We start from the raw sequence: 12005 nt of genomic DNA, 5'->3' as shown, positions 1-12005 counted from the left end.
AAGAAAGAAAGAGAAAAGAAAGAAAGAAAGAGGAAGGAAAGAAGGAAGAAAGGAAGGAAGGAAGAAAGGCGTTATGCTAAATGAAAGAAGTCGACCTAAAAGAGTATATATTCTATGATTCCATTAATATGACATTCTGAAACTGCAAAACTGCTGGAATAGAAGATAGATCAGAGGCTGCCAAAGGTTGTGTATGGAGAGAGCAGACTGACCACAAAGAAGCACAAGAGAACTTATTGGGGTAATAAAAATATCCTGTCTTGATTGTGTTGGTGGTGACATAATAGGATATGTTTGTTGAAACTTATTTGCACTTTTAAAAGGAGAATTTTACTGTTTGAAAATTATACCTCAATAATCCTCACTTAAAAGAAGTTAATCCTATCTGTGAGCCTGAGGTAGAGAGGAGATCTATGAGGCTTTTCTTCCTTAATTTGCCTTCCATAATGATGGTATGCATGGTTGAGAGGAGTGTCTCACATTCATGAAAGACCTCCGTCCTTGCTTTGCTTGCCAGAATGCCAACTACATGGGAAGTTTGCCTTTTGGGTAACAGTAGGGCAAAGTGGATGTAGGGAAGAATGAGGGAAAGGGAGGAGAGTTAGCATTGCATAGCAGTTTAGAGCACAGATGTTGATAACAAGACCGATGTGGGTTCAAATTCCAGCTTTGCTATTTCTGAGCCGTGTGACCTTGGGTAACCTACTTAGTGTCTCTGAGCCTCGGTATCCTCATTTCTAAGACAGGAGCAGTAATACCGAGCTATCTCCCAGGGTCCCTGAGCAACTCAAATAAGCTAATATATGTGAAAGTATCTGGCACACATGTATAACACATGTGAGAGGGGATAATAAAAGAGGTAATGAATGTGAAAGTACTTGATAGATGATAACCATTCTTATTCCTAAATCAAAAGATGATCTGGGGTAGAAGGAGAGCAGTCTGGCTGATAGGAAAGATATGTGGGCGGTGTTGATGCCTCCCACCTGCAACCACATACAACTCTACTCTCCACTTCTGGCATTACCCATTTAGTGGGTGACCTACATTCCGGAATTTCCAGGACAGCCACAGATCTAGTCCTTCCCCTCAGGGGACCACGTGTCAGAGTTGGGGAAAGAGAGGGACTGTGGTCAAAGAACATATTCCTGGCCTCCCTGACCTGCACCCTCTGCATTTCTCTCCTTTCCTCTACTCGTCTTCAGTGGGGATTTGCTCAGACTTCTTTCATGTGAAATCAAACAGAACTAGAAAGGTAAATCTCCTGGGTGCAAAAAAAGGAAACAAAAAATCACCAGCTCCGTACAATACATTTGAACACCAAATAGAAATGGTTGAGAGATCACTGCCATTCTAGTTATCTGTGACACCCCTCCCCTCCCCACCACATCCCTTCTCCCGTCCTCCCCCATCCTCTCCCCCATCCTTTCTCCAGAGGTGGCTAGAGTTGAAAAAACATTTGTCTCTCAGCTGATCATCTGGGACTGAGGAGAAAGAGGAGAAAGCGAATGAATTATTTAAGTTCTGCAGTGTGTGTGTGTGTGTGTGTGTGTGTGTGTGTGTGTGTGTGTAGGGGGTTCAGCACCCCCCCCCTTTAATTAATGAACAATCTGGCCCATTGCTCCTCCCGTAAGTATGCAAAATAACTTCTTCATTTGAAATCCCTGTTGTTGAATGTACTCCTTGGGCACAATCACATTGCCGCCCCTTGTTCTGCATAAGAAACCGCTGTTTCCAAGATAAGAATCTTTTCATTTAGCTGTCATGAGCTCATCCTTTTTCCTGTGCATTGTGGCTCCTTCTCCTTTGAGTCAATACCCAAACAATGACTGCCTGTGCTCTGGCACCCTCCTACCCCCAGCCCCGGAAGACAGAAGGCTGAGGCCTCCGGAAGCCTGCCTAGGCAGGCAACCCAAATTCTTTTCAGGCCTCAGATGTCAAGAGGGCAAGCAATAAGAAGATCTGAGACCCCTGAAAATCTACTGGCTTTAAAGTAGACCCTGGGAAAGAAACTCTGAATAGTATGATGTGTGTGGTAGGGGGCGGACAGGCGCTGCCCTGAGATCATGAACTTAAACAGTCTGGGAAATGTAAGGAGAGGGAATAAGGACCCACAAATGTGCAAAGCTGCTGTGTCTCTCTTCCTCTGTCCCTGATCAGCAGACTGCATCCTGTCCCTGCCCTTTGGTTTGGAACAACCACGCCCACAGCAGAAACCACACAATGGCACTTGCACTCCAATGAGAAACTAGAGAGGCCTCAGATTCTGTGGAGTCCAAACCCTTTCCTCATTCTGTATGCGGGTAAATTGAGGCTTAGGGAGGGGAAGCAGCTTGCCTAACAGCACTCAGATCGTTGAAGAGGTGGGTGCTAAAACTCCAGACTCATGCTGTTTATTCTACCACACATGGCTGCCTCTGGAGGGAATCAATAACATTTGTGTACAAAGCACTGAGGAAAAAGACAAGATAGGAGATTAAATTAGATCACAGTAAGCTACAAAGCCTATACAAACAGTAGGGGTTTTATTGCTAGCTTCCTCATTTATAGGCATTGTTTTCAAAAGATCCAGGAGAATAACAAAACTTAACCTTTACCAGTGAAAAAGGACTCTGCAGAAGGCAGTGAGTTTCCAAGACAAAATGTATGTAGTCACTTTACCTTGGGGAATGGGGCTACGTGGTCACATCAGCTCAGCACTCGCTCATTATTTCCACTTTGGGGAGAGGAAATAATGCACCAAAGAAGCTTTAATTAAGCTATAGGTAACTAACATGTGTCCAGCAGGAGGCCTGGGGCACTGAGGCCCACAAGAAATAAGAATAAGAAAGGTCCTGCCTTTAGAGAGGTTATAAGCTGTTCGATAAGCTGTCTGGTCTCTGCAATTTGATCAGAAGCCCCTTCAGGGCCAAGCCCGTGTATCCCTGGTAACTTCCAGGAGAGGAAAGAGTTCCCAGCAGGCGCCCCCTTGCTGATTGGCTGGTTAAGTGGCTAGAAAAGACCTCTCACGCTGATTCTGTTGTGTTCCCAGTGCAGCTTTTTCTCCACGTTTGGTGTAAAGGAACCTTTATTACATTTCAAACAAACGGTTCCCCTGTGGCCCTGAGAAAGCTCCAGTGATTCCCAGAATGTCTGGCCACCTGTGGCCTTCAAGGTGGCGGAGAGCATTTTCCTCTTAGCCACCAGAAGAAGTAATGTTTCAATGCCAGTAATGATGTTGCTAAGAAAAACCACAGTCAGAAGGAAAGTTTTCCCTCACCCTCCCATCAGTTTGGGGGCAGTCAGAAATCTCACATCCTAGATAGAAAAGCAGCAGAAGAGGAAGTAGGAGACTTGGGTGCCCATCCTAACTTGGCCCCTTATTAGTGGTTAGACTTCAACAAATCACTTCTATCTCTTGGCCTCAGTCTTTTCATCTGTAAAACGAGGGCATTGACTTGAGCAAAGTTTCCCAAACTAAGGTTTGGAAGTCTGAATCTTTTCAATTGTGGGGTTGGAGTGAGGGGTAGATATAATATAATAAAAGAGATACTTGGTAGCAAAAAGACAAGAAACAATGGACTGGATGAACATTTTTTGTTATAATATTTCATGATTCCAGGAAATCCAGTTTTTGTTCATGGGATTGGCTTTAAAATGAAACAGGTGTTTGTTATTTAAAACAACTTCACTTCCAATTAAATTGGGCAAATTGAACACATGCACTTATCTGAGCTCCTTCCTGAGATCCCACAAAAAAAGAACAGGGGATTAAAAGGCCAAATGCAGTGAGTACAAAGGAAAAAGGGGGAGAGGCTATAATAAGCAAGAAGCACACACGCGTGCATGCGTGTACATGTGCAAATATGGAAACTAGAGAATGGCTAAATGAGTGGTTTAGCAGATTAGAAAAAGCCAAAACCCAAGGATGCGGTTTATACTCCAAACCTCAAAAAGCTCAGGTTTTGAGGGTACCAGTTATCTCTGAAAGTGGGAGTTTTGGTATGGAGTTGAAAACAGGATGATAGATTGAACATGATGATAAGAAACAGCCCCCAAATCCCTCCCTCCATCCCAGCAGGGGAGAAAACATTTAAACCAAGCACAGCTGAGGGCCCACTGAGAAGCTATGTTGAAAACTGGGATTAAGTTGGAGTCTGCCTTCTGAACATTGAGACCTCCAGTCCCCATCCTTGACTCAGTTCCCAAAATACTGACAGCCAGGTTACACATGCCAAGCGGAAGATTGGAAGATTCCACTCTGGGAAACTGACTGAACCCAGAGAAATAATTCAGATGATACTGAAGAAGCAGGCAGGATGTCAAATGATGTAGGGTTTTGTAGGCCATATTATAGTTTTTGGATTTAGCCTAAGGACCAGAAAGTCATTCAGGGGTTTTAAGCAGGGGAACAACATGATCGAATTTGCATTTTTTAAAGATGAAAAAGGAGCTAGTGTGGATTTTCAAAAAGTGAAGACCCTGTACCACATTTTGACCAGTTTCAGAGAGGAGGGGAGCTGTGCAGAGATGTGCTGGAGGAGTGCCTATTGGTGACCAAAGACATGGGATGCTGAAGCGATACAGAATGCCACCTGGAAGTTCGTTGGTAATGTGCCTGATCCTGTTTGAGAATGTAGATCACTGGTGGTGGGGTGTTGAAGTGGTAGGTGGGAGAGTAGACTCATGTGGTTTAGAGACTGTTTACATTAATTGAGCAAATAAGTGAAGATTATATTGAAGATAAGTGGCAGGCTTCTCACTGTTGGAGAAGATACTAAAAACAGAAAGGAGGAAGACCAGACCGAATGTTAACATTCTGGGTTGAAATTGGAGGTTTGGGTATAAATTCATGTTTTAAATATATATACTCAGAGAGATATAAAAATAGTTATAGATGTACATATGTGTATATATGCACATGTATGTATTAATATATACATACATATATTTTCCAGCCCTGTCTGCTAAGAGCACCTGCAAGCAATAATAGCCCAGCAGCAATGAGCCCACCAAGAGCTCAGATAATAGTTTTCATATACCACCCTCCACTAAAGAAAAAGTGCTCAAAGAATAATGGGAACAAGTCAAAAGGACACCGAGACCACCTTGAAAGGGGCTCCCAGTGGTCAAATCTGGGAAAATTTGAGCATCAAAATAAACGTTGATAGTAATGGATCGCAACCAATTATACAAAATAGGACTCCATGAGTCCATATTGACATACATACATACATAAATAATAAATAAATAAAGGATAGGGCAGACTATATCTACAAAGATACCCACCACAATATATTCTATCCTATAGGCTGTTCTTACAATGTGATGTTAACAATCTTCCCATCAAGTGGTAAGAGCTATGTCCCCATCCATTGACCCTAGATGGATATTTATGACTGCCTCAACCAACAGAATACAATGGAAATGAAAGCTGTGTGACTTCTGAGGTTGTATTAGAAAAAGGCCATGCACTTCCACCTTGCTCTCTTGGGATACTTGCTGTTAAATCTCAACCCCAATGCTGGGATGAAATCAAGCAGCTACATAGCAAGGCCTCATGTGAGGGTTCTGGCTGGCAGCCTCAGCTGAGGTCCCAGTCAAAAGACAGCAACAACTAGTCAGTCATGTGAGTGATGAACCACCTTGGAACTGGATCCTCTAACCCCAGCTGACTGCCCCAGCTAAAATATCACCTTGCCTAGATTGCAGATTCATGAGCTAAATTCTTGTTGTTTTAAGCCAGTAAATTTGGGTCTAGCTTGATGTACAGCAATAGATAACTGGAACAGAGGAGAAGCCCTTCTGTTCCATACAGTAGAATGCCAACTAATAAGTGTAGAAAGATTGATGGGAATGAGAATCAATATTTGGCCACCATAACATAACTGAATTAACTGCCTGGTTGATTCAGGCAGTTAAGGGTGGTGGGTAGAAGATCGATGAGAAACAGGATGTTGGCATAATCTGGGAATATCTCCCCACAAAATACTGATCAATTACAAAGAGAAAAAAAAGGGACATTGTTATGCTAGAGAAACCTGCAGACACCAATATACCCCGTGATTAGAGTTAACACTACCAGTGACAGGATAGGTTGGCATTGTGTGCTCTCTGATGCAATGCACCAAGAAGAACACAGCATCATTTCTAGGGTATTCCTGCCAAGAAAATGTGGCCTGAGTCTAGTCATAAGGAAACGTGGCTCATCCTACAAAATGTAAAATCAGTAGTTGCTAAAACTGTTGAGGACATGAAAGACAGGAAAAATCTATGGAACTCTCTCCGATTGAAGGAGCCTGAAGAGATACGACAACTAAATACTAGATGGACACTGATGACAACTAATTGCTGGTAACTAAGTGTTCCTGGATGGAATCATGGACCAGAAAGGAAAAGGAGACATTGTTGGGACAGTTGGCAAAGTTTTAATTGGGTCTGCAGATTGAGTGGTAGTGTTGTACCACTGTGGATTTCCTGACCTGGAGAGCTGTATGCTGGTAGGTTAGGAGAGTGGACTTGCTAGGGGAAAGACACACTGGAATATTTAAGGATCATAGAACATCATGTCTTCAGCTTACTCTCAAGTGGTTCAGAAAAAGACTAATGTGTATATATATATACACATTAATATAATAATGTTTATATATTATTTATATATGTAATAATGTTTATATATATATGAGAAAGAGGGAGCAAATGCAGTAAAATGTTAACAAGAATCTAGGTGAAACAGATATGGAAGTTATTTGCACTGCATTTGTAACTTCTCTGTAGGTTTGAAAATATTTCAATATGCAGTATTTTTTAAAACCACACAATTGCTTATTTTACCAAACCATTTCAGATCAAAGACTCATTGCTTAATTTCAACTACTCAACCAATTTTATTCTTCAGGGCAAAGGGGTAAATATACGGCATGCATAACCCCAAACCACAGATATGCAAATCACATTGCAAACCAGGCCCCAATTCATACTAATTCATCAACGTTTCCATGCCTAGTGCTACATCAGCACTCTCAACTCCAACCAAGATACCAGGGTTCACCAACTTCACTTGCAACATTGCAGGTGCTCATTGCACAAAACAGCCCCACCCTCGATATGATGTAACAAAAAGGTTCTCCTTTGTGGTAATAGTCTTTATCTATCATCTGTAAGTTTGGCAAAACTGTAACATCTGTCTCTTATGCCCTTCCCTTTTATTTTCTGCATGGCTCTTCCTTCTGTCACCTCATTTTCTGCTCCTGATGCCCTTATGGCTCAGGTGGTTATTTGTGCTCTTGTAGCTAACATCTTACATAGAAGGCCTGCCCTGTCTTCTCTCGAGATTGTCCTGGTCCACAAACAGATAAGTTTGACTACATGGATATTCAAATAGTAAGTAACTATACAAAAGAAATTCAACAATATTAATAATTAAATAATACAAATTAAACCCCAATGTAGTTATTAGTTTTAAATTAGTACCAGTCTTTACAGCAGCATGATGGTAATATATATTGAGGATCATGAAACTATTCATGCCTTGTGTCATGCATTTTGATACAATAATCCTACTTTTAGAGTAGTTACCAGAAACATTATTCAGAAAATAAAGTGTTATTTATAATGTTGAAAAGATGCAAGTAATATAAGTATGTGATGTTCATGCATTTTTTTCAACAAATAATTACTGAGAACTTTCTATGACCAAGTATCTAATAGAATAGAGCAGTGTTGAAGTGTTATGACAAATCAACACGATGAAATGTTGTATAACCATTAAAATACTAAGTAGAATCACTCATAGAAAAGTGTTTATGGAATGATGTCAAATAGAATTCAAAACTTTATAGACACTACATAGACTATGTACAGACTATAAATTATAATAAATAATATAAAACTGTGTATGGACTGTAAAGTATAAAATTTAAAAATTGTATAGGCGCTATATAAAACTGTACAAGGTATAAATTAAAATATAATAAACTTTGTTAGGTGCTTAAGTATCTCATTTAAATGCTCACAGAAACTCCAGTGTTATTGTCCCCATGGTACAGATAAAGAAACTGAGGCTCATGGGGATTATAATACAACACTAGACTGCGAGTTCCACAAACTAACATTTTTGTCTGTACTGTATCCCGTGTCCAGAACAGTGCCTCACATATACCAGACACTCAGTAAATAGTTCTTGACTACCTGAAGTGGCTGAGTCATGATTGGGACCCAGTTCCCTATCAGAGCTAATACTGTCATTCAAATAAACTAGATCCATCAGGACCTCAGAATGAATTCAGAGATGGGCTTAAAGAGTTTCAAGTTCTTTGCTGGGTTGCAAGAGCCTCATGTCCTTTCCTCTCCTTTCCTTTCTCTTTTACTGTCTGCCCTCTGGTGGAGATACTAATGAGTAGCAGAAGTCACGGAAGAAAGGGCCAGGGTCATCAATGACTGCACAGATCACTTATGTCTTACCTGTATGTAATTAACACCTGTTCTCTAGTTTTGTCTGTTCTCTAGCTGTAAAAACAAGTGGACATATTTTCACCAAATTTGAAGGTTATTTTCAAGATGGTCTGGCTTAAAATACATCATATTAGCACAATTTACTTTGGGGATGCTGTAGGGCACATTGATTATTTTTTTCCTTGCATTGAGCTTTGTGGCCCATCATTTTATGGATTTGTATGAGTTAAGAAACTTACACTTTTTGAATTTTTCTAAAATATCACAGATTAAAGAGAATATTCAAAAATTTCATCAATTTTTCAAAATAACTTTTTTCTCCACACAATGAATAAATTTAAATGCTACAAAATTTGTCCCAAAGATGAAAATATCTTAGTTTCAAATCACCAAGAGTATTTGTTTTCTTTTACCAAGAATAGGAAGTCATAACCAATAGTATTTTAAATTAGAATTTTTATGGATCTGGAAACCCAATTTTAAAGGGACACCCGTGCAAGGGCCAATTGCAAAGACAGGCTCTTTCAAGGGCAAATAAAATTGCAGTAAGAAGAATGCTTGGAGGAAGATGAGAAGAATCGTGTTCTTTCACAGGCAATTGAAACCAAAGTTCAGTTCAAAGAGACATTTGGCTGCTGATCAGGAGATACATGAGATATGAATTCAGATGCTTCTGTAAGAGAAAAGAGTGCTTTTACATTTGAACTCCAAATCAATTATGCCAAAGAATCTACACTAGTTCTATGTCTGGAATCTGAAAGGAGAGTCTAAATGTTTCAAGAGAAAGGTCATGTTGAAACCAATTACTAAGCCCCCAAAGTTACTAAAATTGTTATTAATGGAGCAGTTTCCACAATTCCAATAATTTAAGACAAGATCAGAGCTTAAACTGTGTATGTCAACGGGGTACAATAGGAATCAGTATTTAATTCTCCCAAACCACTGGTTCCTTCAAACTACTGCTTCATCTTTTAAAGGCCGTAAGTACCAAGTGAATATCTTTTTCACCCATGGCTATTAATAAGTCCCAAATGCAAATGCCTCAAATAATTGGCATTGGTTTTTGATAGAGCTGCTTCTCACATAGGCAACACTATGTAATGTGTGCCTGAGTGGTGAGCAACAAGGATTTACCCAAATTTACTCAGGAGTATAACAATAACTATGACCTCTAAAGAAACTTGTTACAAAGTTGGAAATTATTAAAGCTCTGAATTAATTCAACTAGACAAAATCATCATAATGTTAACGTTAGTGTTTTTATTGTTTCTATTAAACTTTATTTAATGATAGTTAATTATTCTCCTGTGGAGCACTGGGAGTCTCCTAGAGTCTCTTTTTTTTCTTGGCACTTATAATGAAGGCAGAGAGTTAACTCCCAGTTTTCTTTCTTATTGACAAAAGAGATCAGCGCATTAAACACTTGGAAAGCCCTCCCCGGTGACTAGTACAGCCCTTGGCAAATAGTAAGTACTTAATAAATATTTGCCAAATGATTTAATGAACCACCCTTATATGAGTTGGAGTTTTTTGGTTGTGACAAAACCCAACTCTGGCTAACTTAGGAAAAGAGGGAATTTATTTGAAGGCTACAGGGCAGCGAACAGGTTTAAGAAGAGACTGGAAAAACCAACTCCTCAGAAACCAAAGCAGAAACCAGGGAGCTCCAGAAGATGTAGAGCAAGAACTGCTTAACACTTTATGCGGTCTTTTTATTACTCCATTCATAGATCAAATTCAAGAGGAAGCTTCTAATTGACCTAGCTTGGGTCCACATCACTACTCCTACACTAGGAGAGGGCAGGGTATCTTGATCAATATTCCTACCAGAATTTATCCAGGGTCAAAAAAAGAATCTTCCCAAAGGAAATGGGCATGCTTCTGCCAAAAGAAGGTAGAATGGATACAGAACAGGAAGGAAGGAAGGAAGGAAGGAAGGAAGGAAGGAAGGGAGGGAGGGAGGGAGGGAGGGAGGGAGGGAGGGAAGGAGGAAGGAAGGAAGGAATTTTTCTCTTTTTTTTCCTTTTTCTTTTTTTTTTTTTTTTTTTGAGATGGAGCCTTGCTCTGTTGCCCAGGCTAGAGCGCAGTGTCTCGATCTTGGCTTATTCCAACCTCCGCCTCCCGGGTTTAAGCGATTCTCCTGCCTCAGCTTCCCAAGTAGCTGGGATTACAGGTGCCCACCACCATGCCTGGCTAATTTTTGTATTTTTAGTAGAGACAGGGTTTTACCATGTTGGCCAGGCTGGTCTCCAACTCCTGACCAAAGGTGATCCCCCGCCAATCTCAGCCTCCCAAAGTACTGGGATTATAGGCGTGAGCCACCATGCCCAGCCAGGAATTTTTCTAAGTATTAAGTAAGAAGGTACTTAAAAGAAAATACTTAGAAAGTTATAAAAATTACTAAGTAATATATTAAAGTATTATCTTAGAGTTGATCCAATCTGATAGGATTAGTGTCCTCATAAGAAGAGACACCAGAGAGTGCTCGTTCTCCCCTCCTCTTCTCCCTCCTTTACCCTCCCCCTCTTCCTTCCTCTTTCCACACAAGCACACCAAGGAGGCCACGTGAGCACACAGAGGGAAGGCAGCTGTCTGCAACCCAAGGGGAGAACACTCATCAGACACCCACCCTGCTGGAACTTGACGGTGGTTTTCCAGTCTCCACAACTGTGAGAAAATAAATTTCTGTTGGGCAAGCCTCCCGCTCTATGGTAGTTTGTTATGGCAGCCTGAGCAGATGAATATATCCACCATCAAAATTGATGAGACAACCGAATAATTTCACAAAAATGCCTTCCAGAGAAAAATACTTAAAATAACTGCTTAGAGATAAGTTGCATTATTTTAGTACATTTATAATTAAAATAGAATAGGCTATAATAACCATCAATCATTACACAGGAATCTCTGAAAGACCTGACTGCCAAAGACTGCTACGTTTTCAATGTTATTATCAAAATATGATACTGGTAATAGTTCAAATTGGTAGGGAAAGCATGAATTGTTCAATAAATTGTACAGCACTACTTGGAAAAAAATAGTTAAACTCTCACTTCATGCCCAAAGCACAAAAAATTATAGATGCTTTTAAAACCTTCATTTAAAAATAAAAGCTCAGACCAGGCACAGTGGCTCATGCCTGTAATCCCACCACTTTGGGAGGCCAGCGCAGTCAGATCACTTGAGCTCAGGAGTTCGAGACCAGCCTGGGCAACTAGTGAAACACCGTCTCTATGAAAAATTAGCCAGGCGTGGTGGCGCACAATTGTGGTCCCAGCTACTCGGGAGGCTGAGGTAGGAGGATTGCTTGGGCCTGGGAAGCAGAGGTTGCAACAAGCCGAGATCATGCCACTCTACTCCCAGAATGGGAGACACAGTGAGACCCTGCTTCAAAAACAAAAATTTTTTTAATTAAAAAATAAGAGCTCAGAAGCATTAGAGGAAAACACTGAAAATATTTTTATAATGTTGGAGTGGGAGATATCTTCTTAAGATTCAAATTCAAAAGCCATAAGAAAAAACATTAACACATGTATGTAAAAATTTGCACATGTATGTAAAAATTTACACAT

General features: G+C 40.4%; 1 annotated feature.

Annotated features, from left to right (window-relative positions):
• Positions 1143-2903: an enhancer, noted in NCBI's record as "VISTA enhancer hs1745". NCBI's record gives its function as "enhancer in: hindbrain (rhombencephalon)[8/8] | midbrain (mesencephalon)[8/8] | dorsal root ganglion[7/8] | limb[7/8] | branchial arch[7/8] | cranial nerve[7/8] | nose[6/8] | facial mesenchyme[6/8] | other[7/8] | ear[8/8]" and the evidence as "EXISTENCE:transgenic organism evidence [ECO:0001131][PMID:17130149]".

The sequence above is a fragment of the Homo sapiens genome, chromosome X (assembly GCF_000001405.40).
Source record: "Homo sapiens chromosome X, GRCh38.p14 Primary Assembly".
Classification (NCBI taxonomy): domain Eukaryota; kingdom Metazoa; phylum Chordata; class Mammalia; order Primates; family Hominidae; genus Homo; species Homo sapiens.
Note: the sequence above shows the minus strand (reverse complement) of the source record. Positions and strands in the feature narration are given on the sequence as shown.